This window comes from Homo sapiens, chromosome 12, assembly GCF_000001405.40.
Source record: "Homo sapiens chromosome 12, GRCh38.p14 Primary Assembly".
Taxonomy (NCBI): Eukaryota; Metazoa; Chordata; class Mammalia; order Primates; family Hominidae; genus Homo; species Homo sapiens.
The window spans coordinates 109,743,292-109,766,650 of record NC_000012.12 but is presented as its reverse complement, the minus strand read 5'-3'; the positions used below and the strand labels follow the sequence as shown (position 1 = coordinate 109,766,650).

Below are 23,359 nucleotides of genomic sequence, written 5' to 3'. Positions count from 1 at the left end.
TTCTAACCCTTTTATCCTCCGTATGCCTTCCTTCCTCACCTGTGAAACGGGATGATGACCCCCTGCCCACCTCATTGGCTGGTTAAGTGTGCTACTACGTGAACACGGCAGATGGGGCTTAGCGCCAGGGCGAGCTGCTGCCTCTTGCTTCCTGGCCCCTCCTTGAGTCTACTGTTCACCTGTAAGGCCAGCATGGCTGCTGCTGCCTTTTTAGTGAGCCGCCTGCATGGGGCTGAAGGGTACGCTCTGTGCTACAGGCTGACTGTCCCCACTATAAGTGGACACAACTGGCCCTGCCATGGGGAAGGAGGGCCATGGCGGGCAGACTCCTGCCCCCATCCATAGCCCCTCCCTGGTCCTGAGACATTCCCAAGGGCAGCCCACAGCTTTCCGGGGCTGAGGGGGTATGGAGAGTGGTGGTGGTGGAGTTCCATGAGGCAGATGGAATGGCCCTGGGCATGTAGTTTGCCCAGCTGAGCCTGTTTTCCCACCTGTAGAATGAGGGTCATGATCATGCCAGGTCTCCAAGGTGGCCTCAAGGAATGGAGGCGCCGGGGGCTCAGTAGGGGGTGAGGTACATGATAGGTGCTTGGAGCTCATTACTTTCAGGGGAGCCTGGGAGAGGAGCTTCACCACTCGGCCTCTGCTTCCTCATCTGTAAAATGGGGTGATGCTACTGCTAATACTACTTCCCAAGATGGCTGGGAGGGTTTGACGGGTCATGTGCGGTAGATGGCGTTAACAAAAGCTGGTGTTCTGTGAGCGTGAGTATTAATACCTTCCCCATCTGCCCAGAGAAAGGGCCCTCCCAGAAAAGGGGCAGGGGACTCATGCCACCCTTCAGACAGGCACAGGTGGGACTGGCATCGCAGCTGGGGATAGAGTGCAGACCCTGCTACCTCCCCACTGATCAGAAGGCTGCTGGCCATGTCCCAACCTTCTAAAGCATCGTCCCTGACACCTCGTGGGCTCACAACCAATCCAAGTGAAATGGGATGGAGAGGAACAGGCGGTGGCGGGACATGGGGGTCCAGAGACAGCTTCCCAAAAGGAACTGTATCCTGGTTAAGTCCTGGGCCACTGGTAGAAGAGGTGAAAAGGGAGGGAGAAACAGATTTCAGGCAGAGTAAACAGCCCAGGCAAAGGCCCTGAGGCAGAGAAGTAGTCAGGGTGGGAACTGCAAATGACTCGGGAGGAGAGAGGCACCGGGGCAGGCTTGCAGAGAGAAGCCCAAGAGAGGTGGCCGGCCGGGAGGGCCTCTTCGCTGCAGGAAAGCGGCTCTCACTGCACGGGGCACTCTGGCTGTGTGTAGAGACATGATTGGCTGTCACAGCTAGGGGTAGAGGTGCTACTGGCATCGGGTGGGTCATGGCCTGGGATGCCACTAAACATCCTACAATGCACAGGACAGCTCTGCCACAGAAAAGGGTCCAGTCCCAACTGTCAGCAGGGCCAAAGGGGGAGAGGCCCCGACGTGGGGCACTGGGCAGCCATGGGAGGTTTTAAGCAGGGTAAGGCATGGGCAGGCCTATGAGCCTAGGCAAATGAGCTTCAGTGGGCTTATTTGCCTCTGCCCTGGGTGAAGGGTGTGGTCTGACCTGGCCAGGGCAGCAGGGAGTGAAGAAGTAGGTGGCTCTCCGTTCATCTGGCCTCACTGGGGCTGGGCAAGTGGACCCAGCCATGGACCCCCATCCCGACTCTGCCCGGGGCAGCCTCCTCCTAAGTGGCCTAAAATAAACTCGGTGTGGAGAATGGAAATGTCACTTTGGCCAACGGGGGAATCTTTCTCCGAGATTGGATTTAAACTACATTATACAAGCAATTTCATGGGCACTTAGCGCCACTCGGAGAGTCCCGCAAAAAAGGGACCAGCTCTTCATTTACCAGCCATAAATCAGCAGTTGCTATAATGAGCACAAAAATGTCACTTTTATGCAATTTTACAGATGAACAAAACTGGTGAAATTAACTGTGGTAACCTACTGGAGTCAGCAAAAGCAGCTGCCGGGGAAAAAAAAATTATATCTGTATGTATTTTTGTTCCTCTTAAACTCTCTTCCCAAGCAAGTTTCTGCCATTGTGGTGTGAAAACTCATTTGTCCTCACCATTATACTTTCATTTGGAGTTTATCTTGAGTATCCAATGAGCCACCAACTGTGAAAATGATTAAATCTACAAAATCTATCTAATGGACGGAATAAATTAGGTGTTTAAAACCTTAAGAAGAAGAAGAAAAAAAAGGAGTGCCTGTTCCTAGTCCCCATTCACTGAAAGAAGGGGCATTTTGCCCCCATGTGGTCAACAGGGCTCATTGAGGGTGACCTGGTCCCTCTGCCATTCCACAGAAAGTGCCATAATACAGAAGCTCATTTTGGTGAGCGTCTAGTATGTGCTAGGCTCCAGGGCCATGGCTTTTTTTTTTTTTTTGAAGACAGGGTCTTACTCAGGGTAGAATGCAGTGGCACAGTCGTAGCTCACTGCAGCCTCAACCTCCCAGGCTCAAGTGATCCTCCTGCCTCAGTCTCCCAAGTAGCTGGAACTACAAGGGTGTGCCACTACACCTGGCTAATTTTTGTATTTTTTGTAAAGATGGGGTCTCACTATGTTGCCCAGGCTGGTCTCGAACTCGTGGGCTCAAGTGACCCTCCCACCTTGGTGTCTCAAAGTGCTGGGATTACAGGTCAGCACTTTGAGATGCCACGGCACCCAGCCTCCATGGCTTTTCTTGATGACTCTCGTTTGGAGGCCCCAACAACCTAGAGGTGGGAGATGGTCCCTGTTTTACTGATGAGGAAACAGACAAGTTAGGACATTTGGCAGCTGGCCTCCATGATCTGCCACTCACTCCAATGATTTTTATACCTCCTGGTATTCATGCCCTTGTCCAGTCCCTGGGACCCACACCAAACAGGACTGACCTGTATAACTAGTATGATACTCTGGAAGTGAAAGAATATGGCTTCCAGGGCTCAGTCATAAAAGTAGTTGTGGCTTCCTCCTCACTCGCTCTCTCAGACCACTTGCTCTGGGGGAAGCCACTGTTGTGCCAGGACACTGAAGCAGCCCATGGAGAAAGAGGCCCATGTAGCCATGAACTGCAGCCTTCAGCCAAGAAGACCATGTGAGACTTCTTGGAAGCAGATCCTCCAGCCCCAGTCAGGCCTTTGGATGAGAGTGCAGCCCTGGCCAATATCCTGACTGCAACCTCATGACAGACCCTGAGCAGAACCACTTAGCCAAGCTGCTCCCAACTTCCTAAGCCACAGAAACCATGAGAAATATTAAATGACTGTTGCTGCCTTAAGCCACTGAGTTTTACTTGTCACACGGCAGTAGGTGACTCATGCAGTTCCCGCTGTACAGAGCAGGAAGTGGAAGCTCAGAGTCTCCCAAGAGCATGCAATCAGCAAAGGGTGGAGCTGAGATTCAGGCCCAGTCTGTCTGCTTTCCAGGCTGTCTTCACCCTACTTCCACCTTGAGGCAGGGCAAAGCCAGGGGCTTCATGAGGCCCTCCTCTTCCCTAGAATCAGGAGGAGGACAGTCCTGAGAAGGGACCACAGAGTCAGCCTAGAGGCTCAAGGAGGCAGGGAGGCCACCCAGGGAGGCAGCTCTCACACCTGCCCTGGGCTTCTGCCTGGCACCTAGCAACCTCCAGCTGGTGGCCCTGAGCCCCAGTCCCTCTTAGAGATGGGCTTGGGGGAGCTGCTCAGTGCTTCAACGTGCTTTGAATGTGAGTGCCTTCAGGTGGGGCATGAGCCTCCAGGTCACTGGAGTCCCTGTCTGAAGCCTGGCCTGGCCACAGTGCTCCGGTGGCCCCTGGAAGCCAATGGGTTTGCAGCTCCTCCTTTACATCTTGTTCCCTGAAGGACTTTCCTGAGCTCACCCATGGGTGCCTCAAACCCAACCTGTTCCACCAGAGTAGCAATGGAGGTGGCTTGGGGTCCCAGACTACTTGGGGCCCTGACCCCAGCTTGGTGAAGGCTCTAGACTCTCCCTTGAAAGTGGGCCCAGCTGCGAGTGTTTAGTGCAATTGCACAGTCCCGTTTTGGTAAATGTAATGACAGGAAAAGGTCTTACATGAAGGAAGTGGGTGAGCCAGCGGGCTGGGACAGGCTTCTCAGCAGTGGCAAGGATGGTGGGGAGGGGGCCTGCGGCTTCGTGACTCCATTCTATCAAATAAATAGGATGCCATGGAAGTGGCGCCGTGTGACTCTCATGGCTGGGTTGTAAGAGGCAATGTGCCTTCCACCTGGAATATGTTCTCTTGGGACCTCCATCCTTGGAACCTGGCCACTGCGTTCTGACGAAGCTGAGGCCTAACATGTGAGCATGCAGGTCTTCAGAAGATTTCCATGGCCCCTACCATCACCAGGACATCACAGGGCAGCTGCACCCTCCCCACTGTGCCCGGCCCCTATTCCCGAGCATGACTGGCTGTTTGGCACTGCTGGTTTTGGGTTAGTACACAGCTACAGTAACCAGAACAGCAGGGCATGGGACTATGAGTGGCAAGATGCAGCGGCACCTAGCTTGGACAGGGTGGTCAGCAAAGAAGCCTCCTCTGATAATGTGGCTTTGGAGTACAGATTGGAGGGAGGTGGGCAAAGGAGCCATGTGGATGGTTGATGGAAGGTAGTCTTGGGGGGTTGGTGAATGCATGGGACCTGGCACAGCTGGGGAAGCAGTTGGTGCAGGGTGAGGGTGGGTGGGGAAGACAGGCTGGAGAGGTGGGAGTGCACTGCAAACCGGCAGGCTTCAGGGCCACTGCCAGGACCCGGGGGTTTCCTCTGCTTTGGAAGGTTCTGAGCCGAGAGGAGAGATCTGACTCAGGTCTTCCTACGACCCCCCAGGCTGCTGGCTGGAAAGGGGCCAAAGGAAGCCCTGGGAGCTGCCCAACTGCCAGCTCCAGGCAGAGTACCCACACCCAGGGGCCCTCAGAAGCAATGGGACTTGCTGGGCCCTAAACATGAGGTTCGAGAGGCCTGGAGATGTGGGGGATATGGACAGGGAGACACATGGAAAGAGGCGGCTCCCACATGCCTGTAACTTACTACACCCTCGCAGGCTCTCTCCTTCTCTCTGGAAGGAGATAGAACCAAGGTGTGAAGGAACAAGCCCCAAATGCTGACAGCAGCCTGCCTGGGGAAGAGGGCCCGGGTTATGGGATGGCAGGGGGATTTTACTCCTCTGTGCTTTTCTATAATTGCCAGCAGCCAGTGACTGAGTATTGATTTAGGATGGGGGGAGGGGCGCACAGCTCCCTGTCCTCCTCGGGTCCTGCCTGGAGCCTGGGGTAGTGCCCTTGGCAGCTGCATCAAAGCTCCTCGTACTCCCGTGGACCCTTCTGGCTCGCCACCCACCTTGGTGAGGCAGCTTCTGCTCCTGGGAAGAGCACAGAGGCCTGGGGGGGCAGCCTTACAGCATCTGGGGGTGGGGCTGCAGGTGGAATTCGTGGACTCTGAGCCACAGATCTGGTTCAAGTCCCAGCTCTGCCACACACTGGCTGTGTGGCCTGAGGCACACCACTGTCCCTCTCTGAGCTTTCATTTTCCCTTGTGTGAAATGGGTGAATGCTGCTGCTGACCTGGGAGGTTCTGTGAGAGGTGTTAAGAGCCGGCTTAGCTCAGTGCCTGCCCTCAGTGGGGGCATGGTTGTGGGGTTGATGACTTCATCGGAGCCCCCTCCACTGCCTCCAAGCTCCCAGCTGCCTCTTTCTGTAACCCCTCCACTGAGCTCCTGCTTGCGTGAGTCTGAGCTGCTGAGGGTGGCATTCAAGGCCCTGGCCACCTGGCCCAGGTCTCCTTCCCGCAGGCCCCTGGAACCACACATGGCGTCCCCAGCTTCCTCTCATACGCCACCCTCTGTTGACTGTTCCCTCCAGGCCAGGCACTGTGCCAAACCCTCATGGCCTTGCCCTTCCGCAGTCCTTGTGGCAGCCCCGTGCTTCAGAAGAGGTCAGACGTTCAAGGAGTAGAGTGTCAAGCGGGGGTCACAAACAAATGCCTAGAGAGGACAGATGGCAGGGACTGAGGTGGGCAGGGAGGGTGTGTCCTGACCAGAGAATGTTCACATTTAAGCAGCGTTCAAATACCCAGCAGGGCCAACCACACACCAGGTGGGCGGGATGTGGTCCACAGGCTGCCAGTTTGAGACCACTGGTGGCCAAGAGAGGATTTGTGAGCCAGGATTTGAGCCCAGGTCCTCCATCCCCCTGGCTCCTGCTCTCAGTCACTGGGCAGCGTTGGTACTGTGGCTCGGGCCCATTCTCTCACACTGATGTGCCCTCTTTCCTCCATAACCGGAGCCTCACTGGTCCTTTAGGGTCTAACTGAAGCACTGCCTCCCCGTGCTGACCACCTGAACAGACTGCTCTCCGGGTCTGTATGTGTTTCCCCTGCCCCACGCCCCTATGCAAAGGGCCTCATCTGTGAGTCACAGCACCTGATCCAAAGTGGTGAAATGTGTGTGTGGGGGTGCTGTCCATGAGGCAGGGATGGCCTCCACCCAGCGTTCCACCATGCACTGGTGCCCACTGGTGCATGGTACACAGTAGGAGCTTGCGTTGTGTGCTGGGTAAATGCAGTAAGAGGGGTTGCCTACATACCCCTGGCCCACTGGCTCTCCTGACCCTCAGGTCTCAGCCAAGGTGTCCCTCAGCCAGGCAGCCCCTGACGTGCCCTCGTAGGACCCCCATGCTGTAGCTGTCGGTCTACTTTTCTCCTGGGCTAGATTTGGAGACCTTCTAGGGCAGATCCTGTTTTTTCTCACCACCCTGACATCTAAATAATTGCAGCTGCCACCACCGAAGGTGCTTGGAAAGCGTCCCATGGATGGCGGCTCCAAGGCCAAAGAATCCCGCTCCCAGGCCTTTGAGAGGTTGCAGGGGCAGCCGCCAGGCAGCATCTGGGCTCAAACGTGCAGAAGCCAGGGTGCTCCCCACTGTGTACTGGGGCCACTCCTTCCCCCACTCTGCCTCTGCCTGCTGCGGCCCCCATTAAAGACTTGTCGGGAAATTTAAAAGGCTGGCTGGGCTGGAAGTGCTGGACGAACTGCCGCTGCCATTAAGTTAATGTTATGGGCCTTTTACAGGTGTGTTAAATAGATGCGGTTATTAACGAGTATATTAAGCCAATTAAAACCAGCCCTTTGAGTGGGATTTAATGTTGCTATAGGGAGACACAAGAGCGGGCCTTCCAGAAGCTGAGGAGGGGGCAGGGCAGGCGGAGTGGGTTGGGGATGTGCCAGAGGGACCATGGAGCAGCGGGGAGCTTGGACTGCAACACTCTGCACCACAGGGCCTGTGATATGGGACCCCAGGCACCTACCGCAGAGTGAGCCAGGCAGGGCCAGGCTGGGTCCAGGGAGAGGCATGTGTTCTTCAGCCCTCACCATCCTGTGGGGTGCATTCTGGGGCTGCCCCCATTTGACAGATAAGCAGCTGAGGCTTGGAGAGGGCAAGTCGCCTGTCCAAGGAGCTGGGAGTGGCAGTCAGGAGACTTGGAGGTGGGTTCTGCTGGCACTAGAGCTACCTCCTGGATCCCCCTGCGGTCCTAGGTTCCTACTGCTTCACTGGGCATACCCCTGGAGAAGGGGTTCCCTTGGTGGACTTCAGCTTTCTGGACGGTAGAAGGGAGCAAATTCTCGCCTTCCCATAGGAGAGGGGAGAGTGAAAGGTGTGCAAGCACACAGTAGGTGTTCACCCAGTGTCGTTTCTTTCTCAAGCCGTTGCACGCTTTGTCTACTGCCTCCTTTGTTAGGGCTCAGGGTATTACCTGTGTTGAAATGGGGGAGCAAGGGGTGTCCAGGGCTTCTCTAGGATGGAAGGGGTCCCTGGCACAGGGCCTGGCCCCAGCTCGCCAGGGGGAGCAGCTCCACATCTGCATTCCCCTTTGCTGCCACACTCTGCCCTTGGAGGTGGCAGCCTCCTGAATGCTCAATTAACGTGACACTAATTAGCTGGTGGCAGAGGCAGAATCCCTAATGAGGTCGCCCAGGAGTGGGGGCAGGGACGGCGGCTGGGCTAGGGCAGACACAGCTGTTCTCCAGCCTTTATGGGAGGGGTGTGGGGAGGGGCAGGAGTGGCTGCTCCATACCTTCCTGGCTGTCCCAGGGACCCTGCCCCAGCCGAATGACTAGGGTGGTAGCCTGAGGGCCCCTGAGGTCAGCCACAGGTGTGAATCCACACATCCCAGTGACCAGCCAGGGAACCTCAGGGAAGTGACTGCAGCTCTCCTGATGTCTGTTTCCCGTGAGGGCAGGGGAATGGAGATGAAATGACAGAATGCATGTCAGTCAGCCTGGTACAGGTGCTCAGAAAAGGCTGGCCACCTTCCTTTTAGCTCTTTCTGGGCTGGAACTGGCAGTGGAGGGTAGCAGCGAACAATGGGCCCTGTACAAAGGACCCTGCCTCTCATTCTCTAACATGTGCACACACGCAAGCTACATACGTGTGCTGAGATGCTCACATGTGTGCCCAGACATTCAGGGACACCCTCAACATACAAAGACAGTCAGGTGCTCCGGGCACACATTTATCCACACGCACCTTCCACACCCCACAGCCCTGGAGCGGCCAAGGTGGCCCTGCTGGTGGGGCTGGGGACACTTTAATCCCTCTCCAGCCTGACTTTCTTGACGCTCCCATGTGCCTCAGTTTCCCTTGCCCACTCCCTAGCTGGGCTCTGTCTTTGGGAGCCCACACCTTACTCTCTGCCTGCACCCAGGGCCCCAGATTTGTCTGTGTTTGCTGTCTTGTCCTGATGTTGCTGCCTGTCCTTTTGCCTTCAGCCCGGCCTCATCTCTCGCCTTCTCCAGACATAGACCTACTCCTGTCTGTCTCCAGCCATATACATGTTGTTCTGACTCACCTACCCGTCCCGCCCCCTCCCCACCCCTGGCTCCCTGCCTGTTCCCATCATTGTCTTTCTGCAGCCACATCCGTGGCTCTCTATTCTGGACACTGGTCCATTATAAGTGTTGCAGACACCCACTCTCAATTTGTGGCTTGTCTTTTTTTTCTCTCATTTTGGAAATCCTTTCTATCCTGGGGATTATATTCTCCATCATTTTCTTCGAAGAATGATATGGTTTTGCTTTCCACAGTTAGATTTCTAGTCTGCCTGGGATTCCTTTTTGGGTATGGTGTGAGGTAGGCCTCCTCTGTCACTTATTCCCTGTGGATAACCACTTGCCCCAGCATGGCATATGTCTCCCCAGTGATCTGCAACCCCTGCTTTGTCTCCTGGTCCTTGTGCTGATCCCACTGTCTCAACTTGAAGCTGTAACAGGACAAGCCCCTTCCCCAACCCTGATACTTCTTTTTCAAAAGTGCCTTGGCCATTTTTGGTCCCTTTGCTTTTATCAATTAAGTCAGCTTTTGAGTTACACACACACAAATGCTCAAGATGTAGGGACTGAATTTCTTCCATTTGAATCTCTGTCTATATGCATGACATATTTCTAAGTTTATTTAGGTCTTTAAAAAATACCACTGAATAAACTTATCTTCTCCATAAAGGCCATTTGCCTCTTTTGTCAGAGTTTCATAATTTAGAGGAAATGGACAAATTCCTAGAAAGACATCAACTACCAAGACTAACTTGAGAAATTGAAAATCTGAATAGACCTATAACAAGTAAAGAGATTGAATTAGCAATCAAAACACTACCAACAATGAAAAGCCCAGACCTAGATGGCCTCATAGGTGAATTCTACCAAGCATTTAAATAAGAATTAATTATTCACAACCTCTTCCATAAAAAAAAGAGAGAACACTTCCAGATGAATTCTGTAAGGCCAGTATTACCCTAATTCTAAAACCAGACAAAGATATTACACACAAAAAAACTATGGACCATATAGCCATTATGAATATAGATGCAAAAACCAACAAAATACTAGCAAACTAAATCCAGCCACTTAGAAAAAGGACTATATACCATGACCAAGTGGGACTTATCCCAGGAATGCAAGGTTGGTTCAACATCCAAAAATCAATTAATGTTAATACCATATTGACAGAAGGACAACTACCACATCTTCATCCCAATAGACACAGAGCATTTGCCAAATCAATATCCCTCATGATAAAAACACTCAAAAAACTATGAAAACTACATAGTTAACATCATACTTCACGGTAAAAGACTCAATGCTTTCCCTCTACAATCAGGAATAAGACAAAGTATCTTTCCACTCCTATTCAATATTGTACTAAAAGTTTTAGCCAGAGCAATTAGACAAAAAAAAAAAAAAAAAGCATTCATATTAGAAAGAAGTAAAACCATCTCTAGTCACAGATGACATTATCTTGTATACAGGATATCCTGAGAAATTCACTAAAAAACTATTAGAATAAAGAAGTTCAGCAAGGTTGCAGGATACAAGATCAATATACAAAAATCAACTCTATTTATTCACAATGAGTCCAAAAATTAAGAAAATTCCAATTACAACAGCATCAAAAAGACGACTGAGGAATAAATTTAACAAAAGAGCAAAACTCAAAATCTGTAAACTACAAAACATTGTTGAAAGAAAAATAAATGGAAAGACACCCTGTATTCATGGATTGGAAGACAATAATAAGATGGCAATATTCCCTAAGTTGATCTATAAATCCAATGCAAATCTCTATCAAAACCTCAGCTGGCTTCTTTGCAGAACTTGACAAGCTGAGACTAAACTTCATGGGACTCAGAATAGCCAAAACAGTCTTGAAGGAAGAGGACAAAGTTGGAGGATTTACACTTTCTGATTTCAAAACTTAATACAAAGCTGCAGGAATCAAGACAATGTGGTACTGGCATAAAGATGGACATGCAGGTCAATGGAATAGAAAATCCAGAAATAAACCCTTACATTTATGGTCAATTGATTTTCACAAGGGAACCAAAACAACTCAATAGGAGAAAGATTGGTCTCTTCAACAAATGTTGGGACAGCTAGGTATCGATATGCAAAAGAATGAAGTCGGATCCTTTCCTCATGATGTACACAAAACTTAACTCAAAATGAATTACAGGCTGGGTGCGGTGGCTCATGCCTGTAATCCCAGCACTTTGGGAGGCCGAGGCGGGCTGATCACCGGAGGTCGTGGGTTTGAGACCAGCCTGACCAACATAGAGAAACCGTGTCTGTACTAAAAATACAAAATTAGCTGGCCATGGTGGCGCATGCCTGCAATCCCAGCTACTCGGGAGGCTGAGGCAGGAGAATCACTTGAACTCGGGAGGCAGAGGTTGCGGTGAGCCGAGATTGCGGTGAGCCGAGATTGCGCCATTACACTCCAGCCTGGGTAACAAGAGTGAAACTCTGTCTCAAAAAAAAAAAAAAAAAAAAAAAAAAAAAAAAAAAAAAAAAAGAAGAATTACAGACCTAAATGGAAGAGCTAAAATCAGAAAACTCTTAAAACACAGGAGTGTATATCTTCATGACCTTGGGTTATGCAAAGCCTTCTTAGACAAAAACACCAAAAATACAAGTGACCAAAGACATTGTGACATCACCAAAATTCAAAACTTTTGTGCTTCAAAGGATACCACAAAGAAAGTGAAGACAACTCCAGAATGGGAGAAAATATTTGCAGATCATGCACCTGATATGGGACTTGTATCTAGAATATATGAAGAAGTTTTACAACTTAATAAAAAGACAAATTGCTGAATTTAAAAATGGACAGGCTAGACGCAGTGGCTCATGCCTGTAATCCCAGTGCTTTGGGAGGCTGAGGCAGGAGGATCACTTGAGGCAAGAGTTCAAGACCAGCCTGGGTAACATAGTGAGACCCCATCCCTACTAAAAATTAATTAAAAAATTATCTGAGCATGGTGGCATGAGCTTGTAGTCCCAGCTATTCAGGAGGCTGAGGTGGGAGTATCACTGAAGCCCAGGAGGTCGAGGCTGTAGCGAGCCATGACCATGCCACTGCCCACCAGTCAGGGTAACAGAGCAAGACCCTGTTTCAAAGAAAAAAAAAAAAAAAGAGTCCCAAACTACTGCCTGTGGGCCAAATCTGGCCTGCTGGCTGCTTTTGTAAATAAAGTCTTATTGGAACACAGCTACACCCATTCATTTATGTATGTCTGTGGCTGTATTCCTGCAAGAACTGGAGTGTTAATAAATTACAAAAGAAACTGTATGGCTCACAAAGCTGAAAATATCTGCTCTTTGCAGAAAATGTTTGCCAACCTCTGCTGTCAAGGAGTACGGTTGCATTTGTATGTTGATCTTACGTTGCTAAAGTCTTATTCTCTTGGGTTTTCTTTTTTTTTTCTTTTTTTAGAGACAGGGTCTCAATATGTTGGCCAGGCTGATCTCTTGGACTCCTCCTGAGTAGCTGGGACTACTGCAACTGGGCTCTTGGGTTTTTCTATGCAGATAATTTTACTCCTTTCTAATCCTTATACTACCTTTTAATTTACTTGTCCTAGCTTAGCTGTGCTGGCCACAGCCTCTGTGCAGTGTGTGGACAAGCAGTGATTCGGATCTTTGTCTCCCTCTGATTTTATCAAGCCTCAAGTTTGTTTGTAGTCGATCATGGTTGGACTCTGGTAAATGAAAGAGGCTGACTTCCTTCCTAGTTGGCTTGGAGCTTATTTTCAGTTGTTAAATCCTAAACAGGGTTGAGATCTATCTGGCCTGCTCCTGGCCCTTCATCTCTGAGCCTCTGTCCTCTTGCAGGCTTGGTACCTGCGGCAGGGGTGGCCCCAGACCTTCCTTCCATCCCTCAGGCTGCACTCAGCAATAGCTACGTAACTGAATCTGCTGTGCGGCCCTAGATTTATTTTTAATTTCATTGGAATTTTAAATTGCTTTGTTTCTTCCATCTTTTATTAGCATCAGTGGAAGCAGTGGCACCTGCAGGAATGCTGGTGGGCAGCGGTTCACTTAGGCAGTAGCTCCAGCCTGTCGGCGTCCTGAGGGTCTGTAGGGCGGGGGTGGGGTGAGGCTGGGAATTGGGGAAGAGCTGCTCCCTGATCCTCTTGGACGACAAGCCCTTCAAAGCTTCTCATCTATCACGAGCAATATGGGTGGTGGAGTTTCTTGCCCCCTTGTGGGTATGGATATTGTGGGAGAGGCTCCCCCCCCCGGGATGGGGGGGCAGGTGAGGTATCTGGGTCAGCTGCTAGGCCCTGCGGGGTCCTCTCCTTCCATTCCTGTCTCCATGTCACAGCAGAGGAAACCAAGGCACAGTCACTAACTTGTCCAAGACCATACATACACACCCCCATCAGGGCACTCTCTGTATTTGACCCTTAGACAGTCCCAAAGCCTGTGCCCTAGGGGTTCATGGGGATGGGGCAGGGTGGGCACACTACCCTCAGCCACAGAAGAGCAGTGTGGGGCACAGAGAGGCCACGTCACTTACCCAAGGTCCAGCTGAGGAGGGTGGGTGCTCATGTCTGCCTCCTGGGACAGCTGCCTTGGCTCCACCCTCCTTGGACCCTTGGACAGGGACGAGGCCCAGTCCCTGAGTAACCCCACCTCGCCACAGGCCCCCACGGTGCCTCTCTGGGGCTTCTGCACAGCCTGTATTTTCAGCAGCGTGTGACTCAAAGTTTGCATATTAACTCCATAATGGGAAAGTCAAATATTTATTAATTAGTGGGGAAGGCCCTGAGCAGTTGAGACCCACAGGCTGCTGGCCCAGGGGTAGGCAGGTTCCTTTGTTTTTCTGCAGGTCACTTTTCCCAGTCACCTAGGACAGGCCACGACAGCCTGCCGCCCCAACTCCTGGACCCACAGCTCATTGCAACCCACCTCCTCTGGCCCATCTGACCTTGGATCCCAGAGAAGTGAACTGTGGCTCTTTCTGGTTCCCTGGCCATTTCTCAGCATACAGCCAGACCTCATCACAAGCTACTCTGATCCCTGTTTTACAGGAAAAGGGAGACAGGGGTCTCAGACTGGACCACCTCGTCCCCCTAAACCAAGCTTTTGACATTATCATCACAGAGGGCCAGAGCTGGGTGGCTTCTTAGGTCCACCTCATCTGAGCCCTTGTTTTACAGAGGGAGGAGAACAGAAGCCTTGAAAGGCTGAACCACTCATCCAAGGTCATGTTGTCCAAAGCCTGGTCGAGACCTTTCTCCCTTGGCTGAAAACACAGCATGGCCCCAGGTCTGGTCACAAAGCCCTTCCTGTCCTGGTTCTGCCCAGGGGCAACAGGGACAAGAGGAGAGATCTGGGCCATATCACCCAAGAACCATGCCTGGGAGGAAAGGGCAGGAGCCTCCTTGACTTAGCGTCCAGGCACTGATTGGCAGCAGCAGGGCACCCAATTCAATTAGCTGCTTATCTCTCTTCCTGCCTTCCTGTTTCCTGTGCTCTTCAATTACAGGCAGAGTCACTGTCTTTTCCAATAAGTGAAGAGATGTCAAAGGATCTGAATGGGCGGGGGAAGCAGGATGTCCTTGGTGACCATCCACACTCTCCTGTTCTGGCTTTGGAGCAGGAAGGAAGGGCCAGCCCAGGTCATCAGGCCCAGCCCCTCCTCTAGCCATCTGGTAGCAGAGGGCAGGGAGTCTTGACAGGGGGACAGTAGCAATCAAAGGTTAAAAGGCACAGACCCTTTGAGACAGTCCAGCCTGGAATTTTTTTTTGCACAGATGCACATGTACAAAGATGTTCATTACAGGAATGTTTAGAATAGTGAGAGACTAGAAACAACCTAAATGTCCATCAGGGAAGGGCTGGTTAAATGTTACCATTTTTTTTATTCCTGCAGTGTAATACAGTGTAGCTGCTAAACCCCTAAACAAAAAAGAACAGGCTTCCAATAGTAGCAGAGATCAAGTAGGGCTAAGAAGCAGAAAAAAGGGCCACACCTACAGATTTCAAAGTCAGCAGCAAACACTTTCCAAAAGTGAGGGGCACGCCCTGAGTACAAAATCTAAACCCCTTATTTGAAGCAGTGAAAGGAGGGGTTTGTCAGCTGGTGACAGGTTCTTCCCTTAGACCTACTTGGTTTAGAAGAGAAAAATAGGTGGGGCTACAAACCATATTTTCAGGAACCTGGGTCTGAGGAAAAAGAGGATAAATAAGCACACATAGGAAACTCTGGGTTGTATGGAAATTTTTAGTTAGCTCAGGACATGGCCCTGGCTTTTCCCCAACCTGAAGCTCCCGCAAATGGACTGGGAAAAACTCATTTCCTCCTAGTAATCTAAATTGAACCAGCATAGGACCTAATAAAAATAATCTAAATTGAACCAGCATAGGACCTAATAAAAAATATACTAAAAAATGAAAGCAAGGCAAAGCATAAGTAAATTAATGGTTGGCCAAAAACACCTCCCATCAGAAGGATATAGTCACAGAAGAGATGAAGATCATAGACAAGTATTTCATCAAGAAGGAAAAAATTTAGTAAGCAGTTCTTTCTATAAAGCAAAAACACAAAGAAGATATACAAGAGCAGAAGAAAAAAAAATCATACTGTCCAAGTATAGAATGAGCACAGGAGAAAAAAAAAGAGGTGCAGAAAACATAGGGAAAAAAAGTGAGCAACATAAAATGAGTCAGAAAGGTCTAATCAGAAAAAGGTACATAGGGAAGACAGGTGAAAGATAGCCAATATGTGCTTAACTGGAGTCCCCAAGGAAGGAAACTAAAATACAAGCCTCGGATCTGCAAACTGAAAGGGCACAATACTGTGTTCCAGGGAAAACAGACTCTCTATGGTCAACTCCAAGACACATCCTTGTCAAGTAACTGGACATGAAAGATATGGAAAGATCGAAATCAAATAGATGGGGGAAAAAAATCAGTCCTCAGCTTCTCCATGGCAACATGCAATATTAGAAGACAGTAGAACAAAACCTACAAAATCCTCAAGCAAACAACGTGAACCAGGAACTTTTTTTTTTTTTAAACCCACTCAAGTAGAAAGGCAATAGAGAGACCGTTCTGAATGTGCAGAAACTCCAGGAGTATTGTTCACATGAGGCCTTCTTAAGGAATATACTAGAGGACCAACTTCAGACAATGGGTGAACCAAGGCAAAAGATTTGGTAGTGAGCACTATTGTTATTAAAGAAACAAATGTGGGGATTGTGGTGACATACCAGATGCTATATTATAAGCCCTGAGAATACACTAATAGCATCGCTAATAACAAATGAGAAAGGAAGGAAGAAAGAAGGGGACAAGATTATAAGTAGACTGATATCCTAGTTTTTATGTCAAACTCCTGGCTTCAAGTGATCCTCCCACCTTGGCCTCCCAAAGTGCTGGGACTGCAGGCGTGAGCCACTGTGCCAAGCCTGATATCGTCAATTTTAATAGCTGGAATCAAAACATATCATTAAAATTGATGTTAGACAATAGAGTTTTGAAAATATGAAGTGAACTCTAAGAAAATGTTGTGGAGAGAAAAAATCTACCAATTTCATCATTTTATTCCTCTTAGGGAAAATAACAGATACTATTCTAAGAGAATTAAGGAATAGTTATACCATTAGAACAAGGCCACCAACCTTCCTTATTATTAGTAGGTACACAAAACAAAGCAGAGAACACAAATCACACAGTGAAAGACTTTTTAGGACAACTTAAATAAAGCACAAATGACTGAACTAAGACCACATGTGTCATATCAATAAATGTAAATGGGCTAAACTCTCCTATTAAAAGAAAAAAAGGGCATTCAGACTGGATCACAAAGCTTAATCCAACTCTATAGTATATGAGTCACATCTAAACAAAGTAATTCAGAAAGGTTGAAATACAAGGATTGGCAAAGGTTTTAAGAAAAATGTGAATTTAAAAGGCAGCGATTACCATTTTAACAGATAAAGTTGAATCCTGGACTTTTGGGCCTGGATTCAATTTTATCTCTTAGGATATAATTCATTATGAAGATTTAAGATTATTAATATCTATGCATTAAATAACATTGCATCACCATTCAAAAGCCAAAGATACAGGTGCTACAAGAAGACATAGACAGGAACATGTTAGCAGTAGGTGTCTAGTTCCTTTCTCTATTCATGACAGGTAAGTAAGGATATAGAAAACCTAATAGCCTAATTAATGGGAGATAAAATTGGTATACACCAAACTGAATCCTGAAAACAAAGTGAACACCTTTTTAAGTCCCCATAAAAAAATCCACAAAGCTCACAACAATTAGCATAGGTTATATCACAAAGAAAGCTTCAAAAAACTCCTAAAAAGTAGAAATAGTAGACAAGATTCTCTGATCATAAAAAACACTACCACCACCCTAGAAGTAAAACACAAGGCTGGGCGTGGTGGCTCACACCCATAATCCCAGTACTTTGGAAGGCTGAGGTGGGCAAATCACCTGAGGCCGGGAGTTTGAGACCAGCCTGACTAACACGGAGAAACCCCGTCTCTACTAAAAATACAAAATTAGCCAGGCATGGTGGTGCATGCCTGTAATCCCAGCTACTCAGGAGGCTGAGGCAGAAGAATCACTTGAACCCAGGAGGTGGAGGTTATGGTGAGCCGAGATTGCACCATTGCACTCCAGCCTGGGCAACAAGAGCGAAACTCCATCTCGAAACAAACAACAAACAAACAAACACACACACAAAACACCTACTATTTGTGTGGATGCGTGGGACTCAAATGAGTCTTAGGTTAAAAATTTAAAATATCTAGAAAATAATAATAATGAAAATACTACATATAGCTCGGAAGTGCTCAGAGACTTTGTAGCCTGAATTTCTCCTTTTTTAAAAAAAGATTAATGTAAAAATGTAACTCTCTAAGGGAAAAAAACTAAAAGCAGAAGGAAGGTTTTAATAAAGATAAAAGCACAAATTAATGAGTTAGAAACCAGAAAAGAATAATTACTAATAAATAAATCCTAAAGATGAATCTTTGGGGAAAGGGGATAGACAGTATCATTAGCTAACTAACCTAATGAAGAAAAACAGGAAAAAGAGCACAAAATATACAATATAAGAAATAAGGGTGAACTCACCACTTAAGAGTTGTAAAAATTGTTTAGTTCAAACTAATGCAAATCAATCTGAAGACCCGGATAAAATGGATACTTTTCTAGAGAAACATAATTTACCGAAGTCATTCAAAAAGAGTAGAACAAACAATCAAACTAATTATTAGAGAAGAAATAGCATTATCAAAGAGCTACCCACTCACCCCAAATAACTGCACTAGCCCAAACAGTTTCATGGAGGATCAACCAAACTTTTAAGAACAGATAATTCCATGTCTATTTAAACTGTTCAAAGAGAAAGAAGGAAAGCCTCTATTTTCTTCATGATGTCAGTGTAACATAGCAAAACCCAACCAAAATTGTTCCAAAAAAAAAAAAAAAAAAAAGAAAGAAAACCAAAGAACAATCTCTTTGACGAGACTGAGGCAAAAATCCTAAATAACAAATTCAATCCAGCAGTATATTATAAAGAAATATTTACCATGACCAACTGGGGTTTAATCTGGAATGCAAGGATTAAACCCCAGTTCAATAAGTTCAGTATTAAGAAATCTATTATTCATATTAACTCACCGATGGGAAAAAATGTGATCATAAACACTGAAAAGTCTTTTGGCAAAGTTCAACTTCCATTCTTGATTTTTAAAATCCTCAACAAAACAGGAATAGATGGATACTTACTTAACCTGATAAACTAACTGCCCCAAAGCCAGCATTTGCTTAATGGGGAAATCTAGAAGCTACAAAGCAAGAATGTCTATTATCGCCACTATTATTGTTTCATTGTTCCAGAAATAGTAGCCAACTATTAAATAAAATAAAGAAATTAAGGTATAAAACAAAATAGGGGGTAAATTTATCATTTGTAAATCATATGATAGTATAACTGGAAAACCCAAGCGCCTAAATTGAAAAACCATTAAGAACAATAAAATAATTCAGTAAGGTGGCAGAAGTTAACAGCCTTCATATAAGTGACCTTCCACTGGAAGAAAAGGCTAGCTAAAAAAGCTAAACTATCCAGAAATAACCAACACAATGTGGAAGATTTCAACCAGGCAAATGTTAAAACATTCCCGAGAGACATGAAAGAGAACTGTATCATGTTTTGGTGGGAAAGGCAGTGTCATAAAAGTGTCATTTCTTCCTAAATTCATCTGTAAATGTAATGCAATCCCGGTAGAAGCACAAATAGGATTTTTGTTTTGACCTAGATAAATTGATTCTATAGTTCAGACAAGAAAATAATAAAAGAGCCAAGGAAATTTGGGTAGAGGGGGAGAACAAGGAGCAACAACCTCTACCAAATACTAAAATGTACTATAGGGCTGGGCACGGTGGCTCATGACTGTAATCCTACCACTTTGGGAGGCTAAGGCGGGTGAATCACCTGAAGTCAGGAGTTCAAGGCCAGCCTGGCCAACACGGTGAAACCCCGTCTCCACTAAAACATATAAAAATTAGCCAGGTGTGGTAGCGCGTGCCTATAATCCCAGCTATTCAGGAGGCTGAGGCAGGAGAATCACTTGAACCTGGGAGGCGGAGGCTTCAGTGAGCCAAGATCGTGCCACTGCACTCCAGCCTGGGAAACAGAGTGAGACTGTCACAAAAAAAGAAAAAGTATTACAGATTGAGCACCCCAAATCTAAAATCCAAAGTATTCCCAAATCTGTAACTTTTTGAGTGCTGACATGTCATTCAAAGGAAATGCTCATTGGAGCATTTCAGATTTTGTGATTTGGGATGCGCAACTGGTATAATGAGATTTTCCAAAATTCAAAACACTTTGGTCTCAAGCATTTCTGATAAGGGCTACTCGACCTGGATATACACATGCTGCAACACAGATGAACTTATGTTATTCTAAGTGAAAGAAGCCAGTCACTAGTCCAGAATAGGGAAATTGTAGAGAAAGGGGAGGAGGTTGGTGAGGAGAGATGAGGTGACTGCTGATGGGTGTCGGTTTTCTTCTTGAGGTGATGAAAATGTTCTAAAATTGACTGTGGTAATGGCTGCATAATTCTATGAATATACTAAAAATCATTGAATTGTACACTCCAAATTGGTGAATGGTATATGAATTATATCTCAATAAGGCTAAAATTTTTAAACAACATAATAATTAAAACAGCACTGCACTGATACTTGAATGTATTTAGATCCACACCTCACACTTTGTACCCAATAAACTATAAGTCATATAGAGAGCATACTTTTTTTTTTGTTTTTTTTGAGACCAAGTCTCACTCTGTTGCCCAGGCTGGAGTGCAGTGGCGCTATCTTGGCTTACTGCAACCTCTGCCTCCTGGGTTCAAGCGATTCTCCTGCCTTAGCCTCCTGAGCAGCTGGGATTACAGGCATGTGCCACCATGCCTGGATAATTTTTGTATTTTTAGTAGAGTTGGGGTTTCACTATGTTGGCCAGGCTGGTCTCAAACTCCTGACCTCACGTGATCCACCTGCATTGGCCTCCCAAAGTGATAGGATTACAGGCATGAGCCACTGTGCCCGGTCTCATACATTTCTTAAAAACCATCAGAGATCTATAAGAAACCTGGGGGAATTAAAAAATAATAATCTCAGCCTGAGGAAGGACTTTCCAAGTATGATACAAAATCCAATGCCATAAAAGGAAATACTGATAAGTCTCACTTTCCAAACAAAATTCCTCCATGGCAGAATCAAAAACAAAAACCAACTTGGGGAAAATGTCTTCAATTCATAGCACAGACAGAGGTCTGATTCCATCATACACAAATAGCTCCTACAAATCAATAAGAACAAAAACCACCACCCAATTAAAAAAAAAAAAGGAGCCAAGGAGATAAGTAGATTAGTCAAAGGAAAAACAAATGGCACAGACACAAAAAGATACTCAACCTCATTCATATAAAACTAAGTTAAAACTACACTGTAGCCAGGTGCAGTGGCTCACACCTGTAATCCCAGCTGATCAGGAAGCAGAGGCAGGAGGATGGCATGAGGCCAGGAGTTTGAGACTAGCCTGGGCAACATAGCTAGACCTTGTATCCCTAAACAAAACAAAACAAAACCAAACCCACATTGTGATCCTATTGTCACTGCCCAGGTGAGCAAAACCTAAAAGTGTGATATGATGCTGTGATGGTGAGGGGTGGGGAACAGACTCTCTCACACCACAATGTGAGGTATCCACAGATACACCATCTAAAGATGTCCATCAGACCACAGCTATCAAAATGCCAAACACACATCCGTTTGACCCGGTATTTCCACTTCCAGAAATGTACCCTGCAGTTTTATCCACATCCTCGTGACACATCCAGGGTTTACCACTGCACTGCTTGTAACAGCAACAGGTCAGTTACAGTCTAAATAGAGGACTGGCCAAATAAATTATGGGCCACCCCTGCTAGAGAAAACTATGTGGCGAAAGAATGAGGAAGCTCTTTAGAAGCTGACATACAGAATAGATTACAAAGGGAAACAGTGAGATGCAGGATAGTGTGTAAAATATGCGTCTCCATACATATTTGCTGGGATGCACATAAAACATCTGGAAGGACACCCAGGAAGCTGACGACATGGACCCCCTCTGCGAGGGAAGCGGGTGGCTGGCCCAGAGGGAGGCTTTTGTCTATATACCCCTTCCTTCCTCCAAGTGTTGCATAACATGAATATGTTCCCTTGTCTAAAGATAAATATTTAAAAGAAAAAAAATATTTTCACATTGTAAGCATCATGCTAAATGGCAACGGATCCTGGGCTATAGCACAGAAGCAATAGGGAGGGGTGGGGACCGCGGTGACCTGGAGACAGACATCCCTTTAAAAGAGGCAGTCATTCAGCTCTAACCATAGCTGCAATACAGGCACACAGGCCTATGTTACCAGAGCCTCTGTTTTTGTTTTTTTCAAGAGATAGTAGAAATCCATATTTTAATGCAAATCTCCGTTTCTAAGTACTTCATTAAAAAAGAAATTATGATAGCTAAAAATAACCAAATCAGAGCGTTTCAGATCCTGGTCCTAGATAGTGAGAACAGACCCCTGGTCACCAGGTCTAGGTCCCAGTGAAAAAGCAAGGCCAGAGAGGGAAGGAAACACCCAAGACCACACAGCTCATGGGCCTCAAGCGGGGACCCCATTCTGTCTATTTTTTGCTTCCACGTCATCCTACTTTAATGGTGGTAAGGGAGACACACATGGCTAGATAATGGTGGTGAAGTTGCAGAGGCGGGGTTGGGGCATGGCGATGGTGGTGGTCAGAAGAGGCTGCTGGGAAGGAGGTCAAGCCAGAGTTGAGAGTCTTGCTCCACAGGAGCTGGCCAAAGGAGTGGGTGTCATTTTGGGGATGGAGACCAGGAAGGCAGCACAGCCGGGGCCAAGGCCTGGGGGCCTAAGAGAGCATAGAGACTTTCCGACAGGGCCATGGTAGGTGGACATCCTGGGGGGTGAATGGCGTTCTCTGCCCACGACCTGCCCTGCAAAGGCTGGGGAGGCGTCCTACTCACACTTGCGCAGCTCCAGGCTCTTGCTCGGGCAGGCCAGGTGTTGGCCCGGGGCGTTCTGGGTCCTCTGCAGACAGGCCAGCATGGCTGAGCTGGGGGTCCCCAGTGGGGTGCGCTCTGCGACTGGGTCCCTGCAGGAGGAAGATGGGGTGCTCTGTCACTTGGGGGCTGCTCCGTGTTCGCCTCCCACCATTCCCCCCGGGAGTCTCCCTGCAACCCCGAAGAACATCAGAGACTCTCAAAGCAGACACCCATTTCCCTTATTCGACCAATGAGGGGACCAAGGCCTGAGGCATCAAGAGGCCCATCTGTGGCCTCATGGGAAGGGACAGAATCCAGGGCTCTTGAGTGGGGGCTGGACTGATGGATCACACATGCCCCGGCCCTGCTCGGCATCTGGGTCATCTGCTCTGGGGCCTGCCCTGATGCCCCCAACTGGGTGAGATCCTCACTCCCTCCGTGCCCCGCAGCAGGCTGTGCTTCCGGCCGGTGGTGGCCCCCTGTAAGCAAGTCAGCCTGAAGACCCCACTTGGTCATCTTGGGCATCTACACAGAGGGGTGCTCGGGAAATGCCAGTGGGTACATGGGTGTCCCAGGTTACTGAAGTACTGGTCTGTCTCCCGCCCAGGGCATCCTCATAGCCCCCCTGGAGGGGAGATGTCAGGATGGCTTTCCTGAGAGAACAAGGGGCTCTTGAACCTTGATCCATGCTGCACCCTGAGCCCAGCCCCAATGGGCCATCAAGGCTGCCCTGACCCGAGATCCCTGTCGCTGCCTGAGCTCCTTACCCTGAATGGGAAGGGCAGAGATCTGTGCCCCGCAGGGCAGCAGCTCAGATGTGGCTGCACACAGGCCCGTGTGGTACCTTCCCCAACGGCCAGAGCCTGACATTCACACAGACACTTGCCTTCAGCTTCCCCAAACCCACTCTCCTGCAGAG

At 48.0% G+C, this 23,359-nt stretch overlaps 1 protein-coding gene and 1 long non-coding RNA gene across 7 annotated transcripts in view; one reads left to right on the top strand and one right to left on the bottom strand.

Moving 5' to 3' along the window:
• FAM222A (family with sequence similarity 222 member A) overlaps positions 1 to 23,359 on the bottom strand; it is a 56,671-nt gene that overhangs the window by 3,845 nt on the left and 29,467 nt on the right. For 4 of the 5 annotated variants that reach the window (NM_032829.3, XM_047429748.1, XM_047429749.1 and 1 more), the window contains one exon: positions 22,423 to 22,550. The exons of the other annotated variant lie outside the window; for it this stretch is intronic. In NM_032829.3, the coding sequence (NP_116218.2) occupies positions 22,423 to 22,504 (82 nt within the window). In that variant the 5' untranslated portion in view covers positions 22,505 to 22,550. The remainder of the gene's footprint in view (positions 1 to 22,422; positions 22,551 to 23,359) is intronic. 5 annotated transcript variants of the gene reach the window in all.
• FAM222A-AS1 (FAM222A antisense RNA 1) overlaps positions 1 to 23,359 on the top strand; it is a 39,279-nt gene that overhangs the window by 6,837 nt on the left and 9,083 nt on the right. The gene's annotated exons all lie outside the window — the stretch shown is intronic.